At 39.1% G+C, this 26,907-nt stretch overlaps 1 protein-coding gene across 2 annotated transcripts in view; it reads right to left on the reverse strand.

Annotated features, from left to right (window-relative positions):
* DCDC2 (doublecortin domain containing 2) overlaps positions 1-26,907 on the reverse strand; it is a 211,538-nt gene that overhangs the window by 13,233 nt on the left and 171,398 nt on the right. For both annotated transcript variants that reach the window (NM_001195610.2, NM_016356.5), the window contains one exon: positions 20,015-20,115. In NM_001195610.2, coding sequence (NP_001182539.1) covers positions 20,015-20,115 — 101 coding nt within the window. The remainder of the gene's footprint in view (positions 1-20,014; positions 20,116-26,907) is intronic.

The following is a 26,907-nucleotide window of genomic DNA, read 5'->3' on the forward strand; positions in this document are numbered from 1 at the left end:
CTGAAGTATGTTAAGACAATCACACCTAAATAAGAAAATGTCTATTTTCCTCTTCTGACATCTGGATTTATACCTAAAAATGGCAAAATAATAACATATTAGTATTTAGTTTTGTATTTCTCAGCCTTACCTCTTTCTTTATCCAGAATTCCCAAACACTTATACATTTTTTTCTCCTTTTAATGCAAACGGCTGGTATATACCCTAATTTCTTTCTAGGAAAGAAGACAACTGGCCCTAAATTCAGGCCCTGTCTCATAGTCATTATTACCACCAGTACTAACAAGCAGTATTATGCTTTCATCCCATTATTTCTATTAGACTTTCCCGGCACAGCTATTTTAGTAGTCATCAAATGAAGCCACATCTGGTTAGTTCAACTTTAAGAAATGCAAGATTATCGTGTTGAAATGCCAATTTGATCAATTTAAATAAGACGGTAACATTAGTTAAAAGGCTTATAAACCTTTAAAATATCCTGAGTCTGGAACAAAATTTATTATTACAACGACACTACAATTCAGGGCAAAAAAATAAAAATGCTGCTATGACAGATCTGTAATGAATAAATGAAAAGCAATGTGCTTTTTGGTGTAATCTCCTTTGAAGCAGACATTAAATTATTAAAGATGTTTCCAGTGTACACATCAATCAAATCATCCCCAGAAGGAACACCGGGTTTTACACCCATCCATACACATACACACACACACACACACACACACACACACACACACACATATACACACAGATAAAATCTATACCATGGTGACAGTCTGCAAAGAAGGAAAAGGGCACTCCCTCTATGTAACTATTCTTTAGGATAAAAAAGAAATACAAGAGGCAAAGGAGGAACAAGTTGCACCCTTCCTCCATCCCCTTCACTCCTCTCTCACTGTGCTGTAGCAAAACTACTGAAGAGGAATCTGGTACCACTCACACAAACTCAGAGCTATCACCAGCCCTGGGAACTTGTAGTCCATTAAGACTGTTGGGTCTGATTCATATGGACTAATCATCCTCACTCTCAGTTATGTTTATTCTTTGCTTCCAAGTTCTTTGGCATCCATTTTTCACAACACATTTACCATCCAATAGCTTTTTGTTGTTTCCAAACTGCTAGCTATTAATACTTGCAGAAGTAATACGAATGTACAAACAAGACATACTAAACAAGGATAATTTCCATAAATTAGTATACGCGCTTAAGCAACAAATGACTCTATCTTCCATTGGAATGACAGGTTGGCAGTAGCCAGTTATGGATGTAATATGTAATGCCAAACATTTAGGTAGCATATTGTGCTTCTTAGAGCACTTTCACATGCAGTTTCTCATTTTATCTTCCCAACCTGTGGGCAGATGTGATTATTATTTCCATTGTATAGAATGGGAAATTGAGCCAGAGACATAAAGCAAGTTGCCAAAGGTTACATGGCCAGTAGATGAAAATATCTTTCATCAGCATCACAAACACACATACCTGCGTGCACATGCGTGCATGTGCGCACACACACACTTCTTATTGAAGAACAGTGGTCCCCTCAGTAGCTGAAAAACTGGTCGCCATGGTAACAAGGCACGTGGCTAAGGCCAACCTCTAATCTATAACCAATGGATAATGAGGCAGAGGGGCTGCTGGGCTGAGCTGGGAGCCATGTCTCTGCTTTTCTCCCCGCTCTACTCATCACTGATCATGTTTCTTACGGACTCAAACTTGAAAAGCTGACTCTACTCCCTGAATATTATCCATCTGTTAAGCAGCATCAAATTAGAGACAAACCCCATCTTCTCACTTTTGGGGGCTGAACTGTACCCTCCCTCACAATTATTATGTCGAAGTCTTAACCCCAGTACCTCATAAAGTGACTGTATTTGGAGGCAATTTAAGTTAAAATTAGGTCATGAGGGTGGCCCTAATCCAATCTGACTCATGTCAAGCCAAGAGAAGCCTGAGAACAAACCAACCCTGCCAACACCTTGATCTCAGACTTTGGGCCTCCAGAGCTGTGAGAAAATAAATGTCTGCTGTTTAAGTCCCCTAGTCTGCAGTGTTTTGTTATGGCAGCCCTAGCAAACTAATATACTAATACCTTCCCTCCCCAGCCCCACACATGCTCATACTAATACTCTTTCACCTCCCTTCCCAACACCCTCACTCTCCCATCCCTCCTCTATTTCCTTAAAAAAATAGGGAAGTTGGGTTCCTCAACAATGGAAAGAGGGATGGCTGGATGTGGCAGGGAAAGAAGGCCAAACCCAGACCTTCCCAGACATAAGTTTGGAGTGGGGAGAGTCCTCTGTGGAAGAAACTGAAAAGAGCCCTGGGCCACGGGCGGTGCCATCCTATTACTCATGCTGTTCCTTATACCTTCATCCAGGATGCCCTTCCTTCCCCATGGGTAGAACCACCTTCTCCAGAAAGCCTTCCTGCTCCCTCAGGTGGCCGTCACTCCTCACCTGTGCCCTCCTAATACTTGCTAAGATACCTCTAGTACATTCTAACCACACTGTGCAGTTATTCTCTATTTATGTGCAAAAAAAATAGTGAACATAAATTGCTATTGAGTAGATACCCCCAAAATATTTGGAATGATTATAGAATAACGGGGAAATATCAGCCCTGGCACTATGGAGGTCTTCTGGAAGTTTCTTGAAGTAAGGGCTTTTTGTTATTCATCTTTGTTCCCAACACCACTGACTCTGGATATTCGTCTTAAATAAGACACAAATGTGCCTCCCACAGATAAAAGTCAGCCTCATATGTGCCTTCAGGAAGGCACTGATGATAAGGCTCACACTTATCCAGAGCTTGCCAGGTACCCAGTGCTATGGCCTAAGCACGTCATATGCATAATCATATTTACACTAACCTCACAACAATTATTTAAGAAAAACACGATGATGATCCTAATTTGCAGATAAGGAAACTGAAGCACAGGGAATTAGGTAAACTTGTCCAAAATTCTCCAAGTAGTGACAAAAGGATTTGAATTCTTTGACCATTGGATTGTAATAACTATTTTCCTAAGATAAAGTACAGAGCAAAGACATATTTATGTTAAATTCAATGTATGTTCAAGAGTTACTTCCAGCCTAGTGGCTCCAAGACCAGTGCCTCACTGTCACCTGGGGACCTTGTCAAATGCAAAGTGTGAGTCATGAGTTCAGAGCCTCTGCATCTCTCTCAGCTCCTGTGATGCTGACAATGCTGGTCCCCAAATGACACTGTGCACAGTAGGGCTGTAAATCACATATAATGCAATATGCTCATGAATATGCCACTTAAAAAATCATTTTGGGTTAACAGTTCTCACTGTAATAGTGCCCTGAAATCATGCCTCTTTAAATGAAGGTGGTGTTTTTATCTTAAAAGTTACCAATTTACTGAAAGTTGGAAGACAATGGAAGGACTGACTGTTGACAAAATGATTTCTGGCCATAAAGACAGTTCTACAAGATTTATTCTAATTACATCACCATGCCACTGTTTAAGAGTCAATGTCATAAAAATAAACCCATCACTGCAAAAGCAATAAATCAGAAAGGTTTTTTTATATTTTATATTTTTATATTTTATGCTCAAAGTCTTCATCTCCCTGACATTTACGTCAATTTTCAGTCAATTTTGTGATGAAAATTTTTAAGAGAACCTGTTTTCAGATAGAAATTGTTTCTCTAAGGAGTACATACATCTTGAAATTTCAGGACTAGCTCATGCCTATGAGTAATTGTGGAATGCTATACTCTTTATAAAGCACAATTCTTCTGTTTCGCCGGAGGCAAAAAAGGGTATTCATTATACTCTATCTTAAATCCCCATTAAACTGATGTACATAATAGTATAAACAATGATCGCAGAAGTCATTTAAACCTAGATGATTCCAGCCTCACAGCCTCTCTGGCACGCATCCAGAATGCAACTAGATTAACGGGCATGTTACACATATTAAAAATATATGTACGATTACAGACAATATGTACCCTTAAACAGAGAGGTTTTTATAAGACAGGACTTCTACCTTTAAAAAACACATTATTAATTATAAGTAATTGCTCGTAATATTTATTATTAGAAAAGCTGTACCAGCTTTTCTCCTCGACACCAGCGTTGGCATTTTGAGTGTATTTTGCCTGAGTTTGCCTCCATGTGTATCTTGCTATTTATTTTGTAACTGACATTCTGAGAAAATGGTTGATTTGTATGGGAAGACAGAAAAGGTCTGGTAGTTGTTTCCTCTGGCTACATCCTAGCAGGGATGGGGCTCAGGGGAAATCGTTAAGTATTCAGGTTTTCTAGAGAATATGCATGCAGTTACTAAGGTTAACTCAGGATTCCTGAGTGGTAAGGGGAAAGAAGATGGAATATGAAAATTATATGGAAATAAGCCACAAAATACTGAAAGCATCAATTACTTGGAAGGTATTTCCACAGGCAGATGGGGCTGCCCAAATGACTTACACTTTAAACTCATATCACACCTCTGACAGTAACAGCAGCAACAAAAATTAAAAACGGGGAAAGCCATCTAAAGAGAGACCACAGCTCATGTCCAGCCCACTTTAGCAGTAAATGTGATATTTCTTATATTTACATCAGAATTCCTGAGGGATATTATTTTAATGTTTAAGGCATATACTATCATAAATAACAGCACAAATTAGAATTTTTTAGTGAAGATATCCTGTCTCACCACCCAACCCTCCTCCTCATTGCCACCCATTAGTTCTCTCTCCCTAAAATAACCTAGACCTAGAAACTGGAGATCAATAAAAATGAAAAAGACTACCTTAGATGTCCATTTTTTCCATGTAACATTTATGAAGTTTCAAATTTGGGAAAGTGTGTGGATTTGTTACAGGTTTTGGGGTAGAAGATATTTCTGTGGATTTTATGGCAGCATTCAGGCATAGATGTTGAAAATACAGAAGTTATCGTACTTGTTTTTATTATTTCTGTTCCCATGGAAACTAAAATCATCTCCTATCCAAGTTGAATGAGGTGTTTTGAAATAATCAGTTTCAATTTTTTATGATGGCAAAGTACCACTTCTTGCTTTCAGCTTTCAGAGGCTTACTTTCACCGAAAAAAAAAAAAAAGGTTTAGATATGATTTGAAGCCACAAAGACCTACAAAAAGGGTGGTTATATTCAGAGACATGACCCTGTAAGTACAGAAGAAGAGTGAAGCTGTGGCCAGTCACCTGGAAGCTGTCTCACCCGGGTCCCTTTAAGCCCCACCAGTTCCTGTGACACCCAAATGAGAATATATGATAAACTGAAAACATACTTAGATGGCATGAATATATTTAATCATCAATAAAAAAAATTCTCATTGTTCAATTCCCACCTATGAGTGAGAACATGCGATGTTTGGTTTTTCGTCCTTGTGGGGTTGGGGGAGAGGGGGAGGGATAGCATTAGGAGATATACCTAATGTAAATGATGAGTTAATGGGTGCAGCACACCAACATGGCACATGTATACGTATGTAACAAACCTGCACGTTGTGCACATGTACCCTAGAACTTAAAGTATAATAAAAATATATTTAAAAAAAGAAAAAAGTTCCCCATTAAATTTTCTCAAGTTAGAAGTAAATGTTGATTTTCTTTCATTTATATCAGAAATCCCTGATGGCTACATTTTAATGTTTAACACCATTTCTATCATTTAAATACAAGTCTACAAACGTGACGCCACAAAAAGCCTTACTGACAATGCATAGATAAATTAAGAACTCTGATCATTCTCATTCTAACCCTTCCAGCCATGAGCAATGTTTGTTAATGCCTAATGTGAATATGATTCAATAAGAGTATATGACTTGAAAATAATGATAAATATACCATTTACACATAATCCCTTTTAGTTCAGAGACAGCAGTGAAGGTTGAGTGGCCCTCAGAATATGTTGCCATTTATGGGCTAATTAGAAGCCCCTCATCTTCTCACTTCTCTTCTTTAAGATGTACAGGGAGAGGACCAAACTGGAAGACAGGACCGCTGTGCTAATTCTACTACCAACGGATCATGTCTCTGAGGGAAAATGGCTTTCTCCACTGTGGGGTTTTGTTTCTTCAATGGCAAAATAAGAAGCTTAGGTCAGGTTCCCTTCTGGTTCTAAATATTTTATAATTGTTTAGTAAATGCATTTCATTGAAGTCGATTTGGGGAACCTGTCACAGAAAACAGCCTCCTTTATCTTTCCGCATATTTTATCGTATATGGAAAAGCAAGACAAGAAGTTCTTCATCTTACTTAACTTTCACAAGAGGAGCTGCAGGTAGCTGCTAATTCTCCATTAGTTGGGGGTAGAGTCAATGATGAGACCAAGTCAGAACATGGAGAATAAAACTAGGGCAACAGGCATATTTGGTTTTTAAACCTATTTCTGGTTACAGCCTCTAAGCTGCAGTTTCTTTAAAATCACATTATATTATGTATGTGTAGACCAATGGTCACAAGTTCAAATGATCCCAGGGACAGGTCAAAAAACATAAATTTATAATTGAAAACAGATGATAGGCATAGGGAGTGCTACAGCCTGTGGAAGTCTGAAGAACACATGGCCTGCTAAAGAGATACAGATGTTGTTAGCCCGGTGCCAGCCAAAGAAGATTCCCTCATAGAAAATCTGCCCACAGGCTACCATCCCTATTGCGGATTCTAGGAAAACAGCTCTGATGGATCATTATGAAAGTGGTTTCTGGTTGAACACAGCAGATTGAATAAATGGGAGTTTTTTCTTAGCTCCCTTCTGATGCTCCTCTGAAGCATCAGTTAAGACAACTTTAAAATGATGAACCCATAAGGACACAGAAGAGTGGAAAGGGAATATCAACCACAAAATTTGGGAGAGTAAAGCAAATGGATGTGGGGCAAATGGATGGATGACAGCAGACCTGAGGAAGCTAAAATGTGAGACTGCAGAAAGGGAAGCCAAGAAGCAAGCCTTTGCGTGCTTAAAAACCTAAAGAAGGCTTGGGGATGGAGGCACCATCTGCCTCTGAAATAAGGGGGATAGATAACTGTGGCTAAAAATAGGTAGATTGGCTCAGAGTCTTTAAAAGAAGCAAATAGATCCCCTGAGATCACCTCCCTTGAGAAATATGGGAGGTTTATTATCTGGAGATGTTGAACCTTAGGGAAACGACTCAAGTATAGCTCAGAACAAGGGGACTATACTGAAACAGAGAATAAATCTCTTGATCCATGCCTCTTTCTCACAGTCAGATCCCAAAATGTTGACAGCTAGGTTCTTATCAACAAGGCAAAAGACTGAAAGATTCCTCTCAAAGGATATAGACCCCAAAAGAGCAATACTTACAGATACTGAAACTTGGAGGAGGCCTGCCAATGAAATGGCCAAAACGAATCACCCTACAGGACACCTCCCCTACCTATGCACACAGTGTGTCCTTAATACCTCACTCTCAAATCTAACCAGACAGCCAAGAAACGACTCTGACATGGATACAGAGATCAAAACATAGAGACAAAGAAAACAAAAAAGAACCTCAGAAGAAAAAAACATAGTGCAGGAAAGGAAAGTGTAAAATAATAGAACATCAATCCTCAGAGAAGAGGGAAGATATCACATTTATAAAACAAGAACAGGATGCTAAAAAAGGAACATTCAGAGAATGTGAAAGAGCTCTTAGATGTTAAAAATAAAATGACTAGGAAATAATCAAAGGAAGATAAAAGTTGAGGCTTTTATTTTTTTTCAGTGAGAAAGTTAAAAATCCACAGAGATGAAAAGTAGGAGAGACAATTAGATAATCACTTGGGGAGGTCCTATATTCAAATACCTGGACTTCTGGAAACAGTAGGGAAAGGAAGAGAAGAAAATTATCAAAGAAACAATTTTTTTCCAAAACTGAAAGCACATATTTTAAGAATTAAAAAGCCCATTGAGTATCCAGTCCAATAAGCAAAAAGGCCCATACCAAGACACATAATTGGAAATTTCCAGAACACCAGGAACAAAGAAAATAGTCTAAAAGCCTTCAGAGAAAGGAAAAAGGGTTACATTTAAAGAAACAGAATGCCAAACTTCTCAACTACCATTCTGAATGGAAAGGAAAATTGAAGAATCCCCTCACAATTCTGAGAGAAATTATATCAAACCTAGAATTGTATACTTCACCATACTTACAGTCAAGTTTGATTAGAGAAAAAAAAAAGATATTTTCAGACATGCAAAGTCTCAGAAAAATGTGTCTCCCATGAAGCTTTTCTCTGAAGGCAACTAGAGGTGAGTTCCACAAAAATTGAAGGTGTAACCAAGATAGAGGAAGACATAGAATCCAAAAAAAGAAGAGAACCATCCACCAAGGAAGCAAAGGAAATTCTCAAAATAATGGTGAAGAAAAATACCAGGATAACTCTGAAAAGCAGATCTAGAGAACAACTTACCAGCTTGAGGCAGCTGACTGGAGGGATTGAGAAAAAAATAAAATGAAGATTTCAGTATCACTGAATGTATGTGAATGTATCAAGAGGACAGTAAGTTCTTGCAGAGTTTGGAGATGGCTTAGTAACAGGTACATATAAAACAAAGCAAGTGAAAAAATAGGTAATTATTAACCTAGGCAACAGGGAAAAAGGGTTACCCAAGAAAGGAAATGTAACTAGAGTACACCTAAATGGTTCAACTAAGAATAACATTTACATAGTAGAAATAATGTATAGATATTAACCAAAAGTATTACAAAATTATAGTGGAAAGAAAAAAGAAAGGGAAAGGTATCTGTATGTGTTTGTATGTATGTGGCCCTATTTTTGATAGGGGGAACGAGTTTGGGAAAAAATCTAAATAATCATCTTCCATAGTAATTACATAAAAAGTTAATAAATCAAGATAAATACAAAGCAAGATAAATCCAGAATGTTAATAAATCAAAACAAAATCAAAATTTATTTTATCAAATTTGAGATACCACCCAATGAAAGGGATCTCCATTCTTTTATGTCATCTAAAATAAAAGAATTTTTTAAATTAAAGTTTAATTAAAATCATTTTTAAAATAATTTTAAATTAAACTATGAGATGCCATCACTTGTAAGAACCAAGCACCTCAGATGTATTAAAATGGGAGAGGGGATTAGGAATATAGCAGTACTCCATGAGAAATAGCTAAACTAGTTCAAATCAGGTAACTGTATGAAACAGGAACTGTGGTGAGGAGGGGTGTGGCAAATGGCTGCTATTTTGTTACAATCTTTGTTGAACTGATTGACTTTTAAAAACTTGTACAATTCTGATTAAAAATAAATTTTAAATAAATAAGAAAATAGTATATATCACAACCTCCAGTTTAAAAAAATTATTTTACTGTTTTAATGTTCATGATGCTGGGTTAAATGCTATTTAATGAAACTACTTAGCATAAAAACATTTTTCAATTCTCATTATTTTATTAGTCAAAATCAACTACAAATAGGAAAAGCAATAAAACAAACCAAAATCACTCCAAAGTTACTATCTCCATCTTCCACTCGGTTCTGTCAAATTAAACAAACTCTAAAAATACAATTGTGTATTTGGTTATTTCATAGTTACTGGTCTGTGTTTCTGAGATGGTGAATTCTCTTGCCTGATCCTTTATTACTAGGGGCAGTTTACTTAATTAAAATGGAGCAGACTCATTTCTTACTTCCTTAGCTTGGAAAAGCACCATCATATAAATGGGGCGTATTGACATAGGGTCATCAGTGCCAGAGCAATCACAGGCATCTGCTAATCAGGCACTTGTTCCACTGCTGACAGCCAACCCCAGATTGACTTGGAACATGCATACACAAAACAGGTTAGTTTTGAAAGAGTATCTTAGGCTTATTAGACCTAAACTCACCTCTGAGAAAACACGTTTGTTCTGGCCTCCCTAAATGCATGCAAGAATGTGAACATTCTTCTGTCTTTCCATGGGTTTGGAAGTACTACCAGGTCCATCATCATTAATTTGTCTGTAACTAATGAAAAGAGTCTGGACCTTGGGGCAGAGCTCAGACTCTTTCTTAGCTGGAATTAGTCCACAATGCGTAACATACACATGCAAATACCCCTGTATGTGCACACACAAACATGCATGCTAGATGGTACCAGGAGAGGCTATCAAGGACTATGGAAGGTCTGAAGCTGCACTCTGCTAGCAAGAGACAAGTTAGCATGCCACAGTTTCATGGGTGCTGGCAGGAAACATGAGACCAATGAGTCAGTGACAAAGGACTTTATTGCTCACGCAATAGCAGTAGCCAAAATAGCATTTGCACCCAAGACCCAATTCCCACAATGAGAAGGGGGCTAGTTATGCACACATTAGTTTGCATTTTAGGAGAAGAACCTCAAGCTTAGGGAACCCAAACTCTTTTTTTCAAATATTGTTATTATAGTAAAATACATATTACATAAAATTTACCATTTTAACCACTCTTAAGTGTACAAATCAATGGGATTAAATCTTTCACAATGGGAAGTAAACTTGCCTGACCTTTGCACCATAGGGAGACATTGTCTTTATCATACTGGACAATAAAGAAACCCAGCCTTTGTCCCAGAACAGAGTTTCCCAATCTCAGCTCTACTGACATTCTGGGCTGCAGAATTTTTTGTTGTGAAGACTGTCATGTGCATTACAAGATAATTAGGAGCAGCCCTGGCCACCACCTTCTAGATGCCCATAGCACTCCCCCAGTTGTTACACCAAAAGTGGTCCCAGAAATCACCATATATCCCTTTGGAGGCAAAATCACCACAAGTTGAGAATGATTGTTCTGGAAGACATCACTCTCTCTGTCTTCCAAGGCCATTCACTATACAAACATACCTAAAGAGATGGTCCAGAACAAAGGCCAGCAGTGCCTCTGCTCACAAGATGGGCAGAATCACAACAGACCCATGGAGAATTGCCTCCCAATGAAAGCAAAGACTTCTAAAACTTAATCTGCTTCTCAAGAATGGATAAATAACTTGGCCAATTTGCACAAGATACTTACATATAGACATATACACACACACAGGCACATACAACTTCCTTCTTCAAGGCCCTCTGACTAAAATTACAACACAGATCATTTAGATGACAGGAAAACAGTCCAAAGACATTAACTAGCTAATGGCCTTAGAGAGAGTGTATTTAAGTATCTTTTCTAGCTAAGACAAGTAGTATACCATGACTATATTTCCTTTCTTAATTAGGATTTTTTTTTTCCTTTCTGGGTTAATAATTGGCTTTTTTTTTTTATGCAATACTCTCTCCTCAGATCACTTGTCTGCCTTTAAGTTGGATAGACAGCATTTAAGTCCCATTTCCTCTAATTAACATGGTACAGCCTTGAGCAAATAATTTCACCTCATGAGCTCACTTCCTTTGTGTATTTATAGATAGGTAGATAGATAAGTAGGTAGATAGAATAAGACTGATAAGACTTATCCAGTTTCTTTTTTGAGACAGAGTCTCGCTGTGTCACCCACACTACAGTGAGGTGGCATGATCTCTGCTCACTGCAACCTCCGCCTCCCAGATTCCAGCAGTTCTCATGCCTCAGCCTCCCGATTATCTGGAATTACAGGTGCCTGTCACCACACCTGGTTAATTTTTTGTATTTTCAGTAGAGACCAGGTTTCACCGTGTTGGCCAGGCTGGTCTCGAACACTCCTGACTTTAGGTGATCCAGACCACCTCAGCCTCCCAGAATGCTGGGATTACAGGCATGAGCTACCACACCCAGCTCCAATAAGACCTATCTGACAGGGTTGTTTTCATAATTAAACGAAAGAAATAAAAATCCTTAGTCCAGTGCCTGGCACTCAGTAGTTACTTAATCAATGGTAGCTATTGTTTAATGCAGATCACCATTGTGGGCTGTTGCAGAGTTGGTCTTACTATAATGAAACTAATGGGCTTTCAACGAATTTCTCCACACTTTTAGTTTTCCATATTTATAATATAGCTGCTTAGGATGTAAACGTCAGCAGACCATAGAGAATGGCTGTAACCTGACTTCATAAGCACCTCGTATCGAACAAATAAACTAGGCAATCCCAATGTTATGACCAAGAGAGTCCAAGAAGAAAGTACCTTTGGTTACCTGGCTTTGGTTTCTTCAAGCACATACCAATTTGTTGATATTGCCCAGCTTTTACCAATCTGTTTCTCAGTATCTCCTGCATACCTGCATTTTGATAAGCTAGCACTCACAAGTTAAATAAGAAATCAAGCCCTGCAGATGCATCCAAGGCTGTTCGAGCATTATCAGAGATCAATTTTCCCTCCCAACTCCCCTTCCTGAGGATCATCGAATGTCAAAGTAAAGAAATATCTCACAGATTTGCAAGTTGTTAAATAAGTGATTAACAGAGAGATTTCTCCTTTGCTAATAAGGCTATGATTTTCTCTTAATATTTGACATTTTGACTTTGGAATATAAATTAGTCTTGGTTTCTGCAGCTATCAGGTGTTGTATATACATGATGATCACTCTTCTTTGTCTTAAAATATACTATTTAATTATGGCTTCACAGAAGACTTAAAGTTTCACTTTCCCTCAGGAAAAAATACCTATAACTGGAGTTTATGAAAAATTATTAGTTATAGCTAATCCTGGATAATAAATTGGATTTTTGAAATCTGCGTGATTTTTACCACGTTAGGCTTTTCATCAGGAAGACGACACTTGCAGAAAATGCCTGTGGAATCATCAAGCAGCAATTTCACTGCTGCACTGTTAAGACAAATACAATTGAGAAGATCATCTATGGAATTTGTCAGATGGTGAAATCTGCTTTTAGAAAAAAAATATCATATAGTAGTCAGAGGACAAGTGGTAGTTCCTAGTGACTTCTCCCCTTTCCTGAGTCTGGGATTATCATTTCCCCCTCCTCACCTAAACTCCAATCCTCCACTTAGAATTGTAAGGAAGCTTGATGTATTATATTAAAAAGCATAGCTGACTTTTATTTCTTCCATCATTTAGAGAAAATTAACACTACTTAGTCCATTCTATAAGCACATGTGAGTACGTATATACTCACACACACACACAACTCCTAGAAGTACAGTGTTCTACTGGCCTAAGAAAGAAAATCAATACACACAAAGCAAATATTTGACTTACATTTATACAGGCAATTCCTTTATGAAAAACAAATTCCAACCAAAACAATCTCAAGGACCCTAAAGGCAAGAATATACTGGCATTTTAAAAAAATGCTTTTCTGAAGATGGCCAAATAGGAACAGCTCTGGTTTGCAGCTCCCAGTGAGATCAACACAGAAGGCCAGTGATTTCTGCATTCCCAACTGAGGTACCCGGCTCATCTCATTGGGACTGGTTAGACAGTGGGTGCAGCCCACAGAAGGCGAGCTGAAGCAGGGTGGGGGGCACTGCCTCACTCAGGAAGCACAAGGGGTTGGGGAACTCACTCCCCTAGCCAAGGGAAGCCCTGAGGGACTGTGTCACGAGGAATGGTGCATTCCAGCCCGGATGCTACATTTTCCCCACAGTCTTTGTGACCCGCAGACCAGGAGATTCCCTCAGGTGCCTACACCACCAAGGCCCTGGGTTTCAAGCACAAAACTGGGCAGCCATTTTGGGCAGACACCAAGCTAGCTACAGTTTTTTTTTTTTCATACCCCAGTGGTGCCTGGAATGCCAGTGAGAATGAACCGTTCACTCCCCTGGAAAGGGGGCTGAAGCCAGGGAGCCAAGTGGTCTAGCTCAGTGGATCCCACCCCCATGGAGCCCCAGCAAGCTAAGATCTACTGGCTTGAAATTCTCACTGCAAGCACAGCAGTCTGAAGTCGACCTGGGACACTCAAGCTTGGTGGGGGGAGGGATGTCTGCCATTACTAAGGCTTGAGTAGGTGGTTTTCCCCTCACAGTGTAAACGAAGCCACGGGGAGCTTCGAACTGGGTGGAGCCCACTGTAGCTCCTCAAAGCCACTGGAGCCAGACTGCCTCTCTAGATTCCTCCTCTCTGGGTAGGGCATCTCAGAAAGAGAGGCAGCAGCTCCAGTCAGGGGCTCATAGATAAAACTCCCATCTCCCTGGGACAGAGCACCTGCGGGAAGCAGCGGCTGTGGGCACAACTTCAGCAGACTTAAACATTCCTGCCTGCTGGCTCTGAAGAGAGCAGTGGATCTCCCAGAACAGCGCTCGAGCTCTGCTAAGGGATGGACTGCCTCCTGAAGTGGGTCCCTGACCCCTGTGCCTCCTGACTGGGAGAAAATTCACAGGATGGGTCAACAGACACCTCATAACAGGAGAGCTCTGGTTGGCATCTGGTGGGTGCCCCTTTGGGACAAAGCTTCCAGAGGAAGGAACAGGCAGCAATCTTTGCTGTTCTGCAGCCTCTGCTGGTGATACCCAGGCAAACAGAGTCTGGGGTGGACCTCCAGCAAACTCCAGCAGACCTGCAGCAGAGGGGCCTGACTGTTACAAGAAAAACTAACAAACAGAAAGGAATAACATCAACACCAACAAAAAGGACATCCACACAAAAACCCCATCAGAAGGTCAGCAACATCAAAGACCAAAGGTAGATAAATCCACAAAGATGACAATAAACCAGTAAAAAAGGCTGAAAATTCCAAAAACCAGAAAGCCTTTTCTCCTCCAAAGGATCACAACTCCTCACCAGCAAGGGAACAAAACTGGATGGAGAATGAGTTTGATGAATTGACAGAAGCAGGCTTCAGAAGGTGGGTAATAACAAACTCCTCCAAGCTAAAGGAGCATGTTCTAACCCAATGCAAGGAAGCTAATAAGCTTGAAAAAAGGTTAGAGGAATTGCTAACTAGAATAGCCAGTTTGGATAAGAACATAAATGACCTGATGGAGCTGAAAAACACAGCAAAAGAACTTCGTGAAACATACGCAAGTATCAATAGCTGAAATGATCAAGTGGAAGAAAGGATATCAGAGATTGAAGGTCAACTTACTGAAATAAAGCGTGAAGACAAGATTAGAGAAAAAATAATGAAAAGGAACAAAGCCTCCAGAAAATATGGGACTATGTGAAAAGACCAAACCTACAACTGATTGGAGTCCCTAAAAGTGATAGGGAGAATGAAACCAAGTTAGAAAACACTCTTCAGGATGTTATCCAGCAGAACCTCCCCAAACTAGCAAGGCAAGCCAACATTCAAATTCAGGAAATACAGAGAACACCACAAAGATGATCCTCAAAAAGAGTAACCCCAAGACACATAATTGTCAGATTCACCAAGGTTGAAATGAAGGAAAAAATGTTAAGGGCAGCCAGAGAGAAAGGTGGGGTGATCCACAACGGGAAGTCCATCAGACCAGCAGTGAATCTCTCTGCAGAAACCCTACAAGCCAGAAGAGTGGGGGCCAATATTCAACATTCTTAAAGAAAAGAATTTTCAACCCAGATTTTCATATCCAGGCAAACTAAGCTTCATAAGCGAAGGAGAAATAAAATCCTTTACAGGCGAGTAAATCCTGAGAGACTTTTGTCACCACCAAGCCTGCCTTACAAGAGGTCCTGAAGGAAGCACTAAATATGGGAAAGAAAAACCAGTACCAGCCACTGAAAAACATACCAAATTGTAAAGACCATCGACACTAAGAAGAAACTAACGGGCAAAATAACCAGCTAGCATCATAATGACAGGATAAAATTCACACATAACAATATTAACCTTAAATGTAAACGGGCTAAACGCCCCAATTAAAAGACACAGACTGCCAATTGGATAAAGAGTCAAGACCCATCGGTGTGCTGTATTCAGGAGACTCATCTCATGTGCAAAGACACACATAGGCTCAAAATAAAGGGATGGAGGAATATTTACCAAGCAAATGGAAAGAAAAAAAGAAAAAAAAAAACCAGGGGTTGCAATCCTAGTCTCTGATAAAATAGACTTTAAGCCAACAAAGAACAAAAAAGACAAAGAAGGCCATTACATAATTGTAAAGGGATCAATTCAACAAGAACAGCTATCCTAAATATATATGAACCCAATACAGGAGCACCAAGATTCATAAAGCAAGTTTTTAGGGACCCACAAAAAGACTTAGACTCCCACACAAAATTAGTGGGAGACTTTAACACCCCGCTATCAATATAAGACAGATCAACGAGACAGAACATTAACAAGGATATTCAGGACTTGAACTCAGCTCAACCAAGCAGACCTAATAGACATCAACAGAATCCACCACCCCAAATCAACAGAATATACATTCTTCTCAGCACCACATCACACTTATTCTAAAATTGACCACTTAATTGGAAGTAAAACACTCCTCAGCAAATGCAAAATAATGGAAATCATAATCAACAGTCTCTCACACCATAGTACAATCAAATTAGAACTCAGAATTAAGGAACTCATGAAAAACCACACAAGTACATGGAAACTGAACAACCTGCTCCTGAATGACTACTGGTACATAACGAAATGAAGGCAGAAATAAATAAGCAATTTGAAACCAATGAGAACAAACACACAATGTACCAGAATCTCTGAGACACAGCTAAAGCAGTGTTTAGAGGGAAATTTGTAGCACTAAATGCCCACAGGAGAAAGCAGAAAAGATCTAAAATCTATATCCTAACATCACAATTAAAAGAACTAGAGAAGCAAGAGCAAACAGATTCAAAAGCTAGCAGAAGACAAGAAATAACTAAGATCCAAGCAGAACTGAAGTAGATAGAGACACGAAAAACCCTTCAAAAAATCAATGCATCCAGGAGCTGGTTTTTTGAAAAGATTAACAAAATAGACCACTAGCCAGACTAATAAGAGAGAAGAATCAAATAGATGCAATAAAAATAGATAAAGGGGAGATCACCACTGATCCCACAGAAATACAAATTACCATCAGAGAATACTATGAACACCTCTATGCAAATAAACTAGAAAATCTAGAAGAAATGGATAAATTCATGGACACATACACCCTCCCAAGACTAAACCAGGAAGCCAAATCCCTGAATAGACCGATGATAAATTCTGAAATTGAGGCAGTAATAGCCTGCCAGCCAAAAAAAAAGCCCAGAACCAGGCAGATTCACAGCTGAATTCTACCAGACATATAAAAAGGAGCTGGTACCATTCCTTCTGAAGCTATTCCAAACAATAGAAAAAGAAGGACTCCTCCCTAATTCATTTTATGAGGCCAGCATCATCCTGATACCAAAACCTGGCAGAGACACAACAGAAGAACATTTCAGGCCAATATACCTGATGAATATTGACACCAAAATCCTCAATAAAATACTGGCAAACCGAATCCAGAAGCACATCAAAAAGCTTATCAGCCACGATCAAGTCGGCTTCATCCCTGGGATGGAAGCCTGGTTCAACATACACAAATCAATAAACGTAATCCATCACATAAACAGAACCAATGACAAAAACCACATGATTATCTCAATAGATGCAGAAAAGGCCTTTGATAAAATTCAACACTCTTTCATGCTAAAAATTCTCAATAAATAAGGTATTGATGGAATATATCTCAAAATAGTAAGAGCTATTTATGACAAACCCACAGCCAATATCATACTGAATGGGCAAAAGCTGGAAGCATTCCCTTTGAAAACTGGCACAGATCAAGGATGCCATCTCTAATCACTCCTATTTAACATAGTATTAGAAGTTCTGGCCAGGGCAATCAGGCAAGAGAAAGAAAGGGTATTCAAATAGAAATAGGAAGAGAGGAAGTCAAATTGTCTGTCTTTGTGGATGACATGATTGTATATCTAGAAAACTCCAAGATCTCAGCCCAAAATCTCCTTAAGCTGATAAGTAACTTCAGCAAAGTCTCAGGATACAAAATCAGTGTGCAAAAATCACAAGCATTCCTATACACCAGTAATAGACAAACAGAGAGCCAAATCATGAGTGAACTCCCATTCACAATTGCTACAAAGAGAATAAAATACCTAGGAATACAACTTACAAGAGATGTGAAGGCCCTCTTCAAGGGGAAGGACAAACCACTGCCCAAGCAAATAAGAGAGGACACAAACAAATGGAAAAACATTCCATTCTTGTGGATAGGAAGAATTGATATTGTGAAAATGGCCATACTGCCCAAAGTAAGGTATAGATTCAATGCTATCCCCATCAAGCTACCATTGACTTTCTTCACAAAATTGGAAAAAACTACTTTAAAGTTCATATGGGACCAAAAAAGAGCCCATATAGCCAAGACAATTCTAAGCAAAAGGAACAAAGCTGGAGGCATCATGCTACCTGACTTCAAACTATACTACAAGGCTACAGTAACCAAAACAGCATGATGCTGGTACCAAAACAGATATATAGACCAACTGAGCAGCACAGAGTTCTCAGAAATAACATCGCACATCTACAACCATCTGATCTTTGACAAACCTGACAAAAACAAGCAATGGGGAAAGGATTCCCTATGTAATAAATGGCGTTGGGAAAACTGGCTAGCCACATGCAGAAAACTGGAACTGGACCCCTTTCTTACATCTTATAGAAAAATTAACTTAAGATGGATTAAAGACTTAAATGTAAGACCTAAAACCATAAAAACCCTAGAAGAAAACCTAGGCAATACCATTCAGGACATAGGCATGGGAAAAGACTTCATATGAATAAAACACCAAAAGCAATGGCAACAAAAGCCGAAATTGACAAATGGGATCTAATTAAACTGAAGAGCTTCTGCACAGCAAAAGAAACTATCATCAGAGTGAACAGGCAACCTACAGAATGGGAGAAGATTTTTGCAATCTATTCATCTGACAGGGCTAATATTCAGAATCTACAAGGAACTTAAAAAAATTTACAAGAAAAAAAACAAACAAACCCATCAAAAAGTGGGCAAAGGATATGAGCAGACACTTCTCAAAAGAAGACACTTATGCAGCCAACAAACATAAGAAAAAACGCTCATCATCACTGGTCATTAGAAAAATGTAAATCAAAACTACAATGCGATACCATCTCATGCCACTTAGAATGGCAATCATTAATAAGTCAGGAGGCAACAGATGCTGGAGAGGATGTGGAGAAATAGCAACACTTTTACACTGTTGGTGGGAGTGTAAATTAGTTCAACATTGTGGAAGACAATGTGGCGATACCTCAAGGATCTAGAGCCAGAAATACCCTTTGACCCAGCAATCTCATTACTGGGTATATACCTGAAGGATAGTAAACCAATCTACTATAAAGACACATGCACACTTATGTGTACTGCAGCGCTATTCACAATAGCAAAGACTTGGAACCAACCCAAATGCCCATCAATGATAGACTGGATAAAGAAAATATGGAACATATACACCACGGAATACTATGCAGCCATAAAAAAGGATGTGTTCGTGTCTTTTGCAGGGACATGAATGAAGCTGGAAACCATCATTCTCAGCAAACTAACACAGGAACAGAAAACCAAACACTACACATTCTCACTCATAAGTGGGAGCTGAACAATGAAAACACATGGACACAGAGAGGTGAACATCATACACTGGGGCCTGTCAGGGTTTGGGGAGCTAGGGGAGGGACAGCATTAGGAGAAATGCCTAATGTAAATGATGGGTTGATGAGTGCAGCAAACCACCATGGCACCTCTGTAACAAACCTGCACGTTCTGCACATGTATGCCAGAACTTAAAGTATAATTTTTTAAAAATGCTTTTCTAAGTGGGTAAGTACTTTTATTCCAGATGAAAATCCCAAACCAATACTCTTTTTTATATCAAACTTTATCACTTTATCTCATACCTAATCCCATCCCATCTTGCTCTTCAATGCTCTTTATTAAGGAAATACCATTTGCTGTTATTTAAAAAGACTTGGTCTAAATGGCTATTCTTCACAGGAATACTAGGAGAAAGAATGGTGTTTTGTTATGTTTTTAAGGTTGATCAGCCACATAGTACCTTAGAGGGTTTAATTCATACAGGTATAGGAACAATTTGTAGGAGATAACACAAAACTTGGAAAAAAAACACTATAATTGTCTTACACATATTTTTTAAGGCATGGAGATTACCTGATCGACTGGAACCTCAACCTGAGTATCTTCATCTTCTTGGACTTCTGCTGCCCCCCGTGTTTCAGACCTCTCTGCTCCAGCTTTGAAAATGCCTTCATCTATTGAGACAAACACACAGTGAAAATCAAAATCCAATTGTGACATCGTGTGGCTGAATGCTGGAATTACAATCAAATGCTTATTTTTAATAGACATTTGGATTCCCTTTTTAGTTGATAGTATTTTTGTGCACCCCCTCCTCCGACCACCACACCACCCCCAGTTGTTCCACATTTTCATTGAGAAAACATTCAGTGGTCAAAACAAGGCTGACCCAGCAGGGTAAAGTTCTGTCGAAGCTCCTGTTCACCCTTTGGCTACTGATTTACTAACATAGCCCTTTGTACAGGCATTGAGATGAGAAGAAATTCACAAGTATCATCCCAGTTCTCCCCTCCTATTCACAAAACAGTGAAAATGCTTGCTGCTTTAAAATACTACTTTTAGAAATTTACCTTTCCCAAGAGAATGCTATGCATTCAATATAACGTATTGGAATAATTCTCTCTATTCAGAGTATTATAAAAAATGTTTTTACTGCAGCCAAATCATAGAGTTGACTTTCCATATCTCACCAAAAAATCAGTATCATTTATTCTGCAGATCTCCACAAGATTTTCACAACCTATGACTTTAAATCCTTAACTATCAAATGTAAACTCAATCTCTGACTTTAGGTTAAGCTCCTTCAACTTGCTTTCCTCTGGAAAGCAATAATAGCTGTTTTTCATATTTGAAGTAGTTTTAATGTCTCCCCTCAGCCTTCTCTTCTTCAGGCCAAGTAATCAAAGAATTGCAGAACCATTTGTCATTCTGTCCATCTACTTGCCTCAAGACAGGTTTAGTGCTTTGGCCATTCTCACAGATGTTTTCTCTGTCCAATTTTTAAGGCTCTCCAGGGATGGCGATTTTACCTCCTTCTCTGGTAATCTATTACAATATTTGATTACCCCTACAGTCTAGAAAATATATTTTTATCTTTTGCCTTAAAACCCCCTTTATTTCTCTAATGGAAGCTTATTTCCCAGAGCATAATTATTTAACCTATTTTATCTAATAATCTTTCGTATTGCTAAAGCTATGAAGTCACTCTTAATTAAATGTAAAATATATTTTTACACTTGTTGAGGACCAATTATATGCAAGGCAGGATGTGAACCCAGGAGACAGCCTAAGATATGAATGAAATGTGGACTGTTCTCTCAAGTTGCTTCCAGTCCAATGAGGAGACAGAGATAAACATACTTCCAATAAGGTGAATGATGAGGAAGGGCAATAGCAGAGTATTATGGAAGCTGAAAATATACAGCCCAGTGAGGAAGGAATGAAGGAAAGAAGGAAGGAAGGAAACAGGAAGGGAGGAAAAGAGTGAAGAAAAATAGGTATGTTTGACATTCATTTCTACCTTCTGAAATTACCTTGAAAAACAACCATCATAGTCAGATGCTAAACTCAGTAGACTACAGTTATGACCTATGCACATGACTTTTTGGATGACATTTTGTGTCCAAATGTTGCACTTGCTTACTAAGAGACTACAAAGGCAGGCCTATAGATACAAAAGGAATACAGTCTTAATACTCACATTCAATGAAATGTTTAACTGTATCCAAGCGGAGCTACGAATGGTTTGCAGATGTGTTTTAGAATAAGCATTTTACCAGAAAAGAAGAATACAATCGATAACAACAAATAAAATAAAATTGAAAGGGCACTGGAATGGAAAATGACAACCATAAGGATATAAACAGCAAAGAGACAAATCAGCAAAGCTCAACGCTGTGCACAGTGACACAAAGAGAATATAAATACTTTTTTTAAATGGTTGCCTCAGGTGTGGAGGGAGGATGTGTTTATCAGTGAACCAAAATGTTTAAGCCATTGCCATTAACAGCACAGAGCAAGAAATGAAGATCAGAAAGGAATTCATAAGAATAAACAGTGATCAAAAAAAGGCAGAACAGCTAGAAAGGCCTTTGTGATAGGCCTACTAGAATTTTCATTTTTACCATAAACATTATATAAAATTAAAGGCAGAATATTAATTTTTCGAGAAAACTATTTTAAATAGTATTTTTGATTATAAATTGTTTATATGCATTTTAGAAAACTTGGAAGGTGAAAAAATAAATATGTTTAATCTCATGACCCAGAGACAGCCATCACTAATATTTTGACAATTCTTTCCTTCCCTCCCTCACTCCATCTATCTTTCTCTCTCTCTCTCTCTCTCTCTCTCTCTCTCAGACACACACACACACACAGACACATGCACTCGTAAAACTGGGATCTTATTGTACATATAATTTTTAAAATCATTTCTTTAAAACCATATCATGAGCATTTCTCATGTCACTAAATGTTACTTGAAAACATAATAAATAGCTGCATGTTGCAGTACCATGCTTTAATTAATGGACAATAATGAATAGTGCAAAATAGGAATTTTTAATGAATAGATACTATTCATCTGATTGATGGGTAAATATGCACTAAGATCTACTGCATAATAGTCACTCTGGAAAATATGAAAGCGCTGCTGGTGAGGGTTTTGTATCCCATGGAGACCATCACAGAGACATGCGATGTTTACTCTTCCACATTCATACCCTGTAGCTCCTTTCCTATCTTAGGAGTTTGTTTTCCAAGAATAAGCATGGTGCACTGCAAAGAGTAAGTCCTCAGTTAATATTTATTAGATGTAAGACAAAAGACAAGCCCCGGTTTAATCTCTTTCTCACACGTTGATTCCCCTCCTGCTGTATACACCCCCTACACCCACGTGTCCTCACCCACCCTGCTCAGTATTAAATTCTCTCTTCCAAAATTATCTCATGGGCATCCTGATTTTGATACAATTAATTCAAAAGAATCCTTGGCCTCTTCTTTGAATGCTTCTTCTACTTCATTTTAAAGGAAATCTAACCAACCCTGTATGTCACCATCTGAGTAACTTCAACACCATGTGATGAGCCACTCTACACCCTTAAATACCCTGACTCTTCAACTCCATTGACATCCCCTCAATTTCACCTTGATTTCGATCATTTTCATCAAATGGAGCGATTTCAGTCACAGCCCATGTGCAGTTAGGACCAAAGAACCTGCAGGTCACGGACCCGCTATGCTTTTTCATGTCTCACCCTATGCCTTCCATGTCTAGTTTGCCACTTCTACCCTGTCCCTGGGTGGTGGCCCAACAGCAGACTTACTCATGGCTCAAATCTTACTCAGCTGTCAATGTTTCATGAAAATCTCCTCTGATCTTATCCTGTAACCCCACAACAAAACAGAACCAACAGCTCCCTCCTCTGTGCTACTTTTTTTTTTTTTTTTTTTTTTTTTGAGATGGAGTCTCACTCTGTTGCCCAGGCTGGAGTGCAGTGGCGCAATCTCCGCTCACCGCAAGCTCCGCCTCCCAGGTTCACACCATTCTCCTGCCTCAGCCTCCCAAGTAGCTGGGATTACAGGCATGTGCCACCACACCTGGCTAATTTTGTATTTTTAGTAGAGACAAGCGTTTCTCCATGGTGGTTAGGCTGGTCTCGAACTCCAACCTCAGGTGATCCACCCTCCTCAGCCTCCCAAAGTGCTGGGATTACAGGCATGAGCCACTGTGCTCAGCCCCTCTGCACTACTTTTTCCTCCCACATACTGCGTTTATTCATGATCACACTTACTTTAATCAATTTCTTTTACCAATTCTGCCCCCTTCCCTGCTAGACCACAAGCTCCTTTAGGCATAGACCACAATTTTTGTCCTGTGCCTAGCACAATGTCAGCCTCCTAACAGGTTTTGACATGTTCTTTAAACTGAACTAACAATACAAAGCATTATATAAACACCAAATTTTTGGCATTGTCTGCAAGTATTATTTGTAATACAATCTGTATTCATATACACTTCATCCAGGGCCAAGATCCGTGGGCCAATGTGAGTGTTCAAAAGTAAATTAGGCCTTAAATTAGAAAATTAAAATCATTTGATGCCAAAGAATTGCCAACAAGGCCAAAATACAATGGAAAAGAATCCGAATGATATAATAAGAATATGTTTCCCCTCTGTCGATGCCATCGTAAAAAGCAACTGAAGACACATTTCATGGACAAAGTCAAAGATAAAACATTGAAAATTTAAAACACCTGCTTGCAAGTATAGATTCCATGAGAAATTTCCAAAAGTATTACCCTTTTTATCAAGGGCAACATTATTTGAGCACTTCAAAACCTTACCATATTCCCTTTATTACTACTAATTTAAACTTGCACAGTAAATTTGTGGATTTAGACCATGACAGCGTTATTATGTGCCATGGTTGTCTAGTTATTGCTACAGCAACATCAGCTATTCTACCACGACTCATGAAGGGTGAGTGACAACTAGGGCTGAGGTGTTTTGTCCCCAATGAGACACAGAAGCAGTTTTAGTGTCACTTGGGATTTTCATAAAAACAGGAACTTAGTGTTACTACATACTAATGTCAACAGGTAAGTGATCCTTTTTGCCACACACTGCCCACCTGTGAACTTTTTAGTGTGCCAATAATAGTTCTGCACACATTCAGGAGTTCTGAGTCCCCTTTTACTGAGCATTAGTATAATTTTCAACTGCTCATGAAACGTCTTGAGTTTTAGCAATTTTGCTTCCTCTAAAACTAATTGGGCACAGCAAGTATAATAACAGAATGCCTGTGTATCATATAAAAGTAACTCTTCTCTAGGTAGTAAAAGTGAGCTCTTGGGAAAAGTAATAATGGGATGGCGCATCATCTCAGAATGCAGAGCACCTGGTGCTTAGCTGTCTAGAGTCACGGTCTCATCCTCACCCCCACACTTTCCCCAGCTCTTTCTAATCTATCTTCTATAACAGCACCCCAGAGAGATTATTCTTGTCAAAATTATCAATGACCATCATTACAATATTTATTATCTCATTTACTTGATCTTTTAGCAGCTTTTAATGCAGCAGTATCAGGGTGTGTGTGTGTGTGTGTGTGTGTGTGTGTGTGTGTCTGTCTGTCTGTCTGTCTGCCTGCCTGCCTGTCTGTCTTCACCCTCCTGGTTTTACCAGAAGTTTCTCCTAAGTCTCCTTGGCCAATCCATCCTCCTCTGTTCAACTTCTAAATATTGGCCCACCTCAGAGCTGCATTGTGGATCAGGTTCTCTATCTACACACTTTCTAGATTAATCTCATTTGAGTACCATCAATGTGCCAGTGATTCTCTAATACGTATATTCAGCCTTGACCTCTTTATAGATCCCAAAACATATATATCTATCTAACTGTCTAACTTGACACTTCACCTTGGATGTCCAATAGGCACCTCAACCTTAACATGGTCAAAACACAACTCTGGTTCCCCACCCTAAACTGCTCATCCCCCAGATTCCCCAACCCAGGAAATGGCACCACTTCTCAATCCCAAAATCTGGGAATTATCTTTATTTCCTCCTGGCCTCAGTTTCTATATCCATTCCATTGTCAATCTTCTCAATTCAATCTCCTTTTAAAATGTATCTCAAATATATTCATTTATTTCTATCTCCACTCCCAACTTGGTCTCATCACCATTATCTGTTGGATGGGCTGTTAAAACAGCTTACAAACTAGTGTCCCTCTTCTTCCACTCTTGCTAGCTCATAATCATCCTCCATACAATAGCCAAGTGCTCTTAATAGATCATTTAAAAAGTGTTTAATTCCACAGCTTAGAAACTCTCCAACATTGTTCCATCACATATACAATCCAAGTTCCTTACTATGGCTTACAGAGATGTGATCTGGCACTTAACTCCTCCTCAAACTGCATTTCGTATCTTTTTCCTTGCACATTAAACTCAAGCTCCACTGACCTTCATTCTGTTTCTCACTAGAAAACTCTCTCCTGCCTCATGGCTTTGTTCTTCACAGAGTCTCTGCCTAAAAAGTTCTTTCCCCATTTTCACACCGTCAGCCAGATCTCAGGAAACCCTCCTTGTTCCAATTCCAGTAGCCACTCATTCATTCATAGTGCCCTGGTTTAATTCTCTGCCTTGCACTTACTGTGTTTGTCAGTTTCCACCAAAGTGTAAGCTCCAAGAGATCAGGCAGTTTGTCCGTATTTTTCACTGTTCCATCCCCAGCACTAAAACATATTTGCTGTATTGAAGTAGAATGTAAGGAGCCAACAACTTAGCCACTAGCCCAGTGCATTAATTCTTCATGTTCTTACAGGGTGTTGCCCCAATCTGGCTACACTTGGCAGTATAGCATTTGGATGGAGGGTAGAGAGGAGAACAAAGGGAACTGACGAGAAAGAAGACAGATTGAGGTACAACCTACAAAGGGATCAACAAATTACGTTATTGGTGGTAGGTAGAATAATGCCCCCCACCCCCAAGATGTCCACATCCTGATCGTAAGAAACTGTGAGCATGTTACATGACATGGCAAAGAGGAATTACGGTTGCAGATGGAATTAAGGTTGCTAAGCAGCTGACCTTGAGATGGGAAGAGAATTGTGGCTTATTCATGTGAACTCAATATAATCACAAGGGTCCTTGTGAGTGAAAAAGAGGAAGGAGGCCCAGAGTGGGACTGATACAGTGCAAACAAGACTTGAGCCACCCTTGCTGGCTTTGAAGATGGAAAGGCCACAAGTCAAGGAATGCAGGCAGCCTGTAGAAACTGGAAAAACCATGGACATGAATCCTTGCCTAGAGCCTCCAGAAGGAACACAGACCTGATGACAGCTTGGTTGTAACCCAGTAAGGCCCATTTTGGAATTCTGACCTCCAGAACTGTAAGATAATAAATCTGTGTTGTTTTAAGGCACCATGTTTGCGGTGATTTGTCACAACAGCCATAGGAAA

This window comes from Homo sapiens, chromosome 6 (genome assembly GCF_000001405.40).
Source record: "Homo sapiens chromosome 6, GRCh38.p14 Primary Assembly".
NCBI lineage: Eukaryota > Metazoa > Chordata > Mammalia > Primates > Hominidae > Homo > Homo sapiens.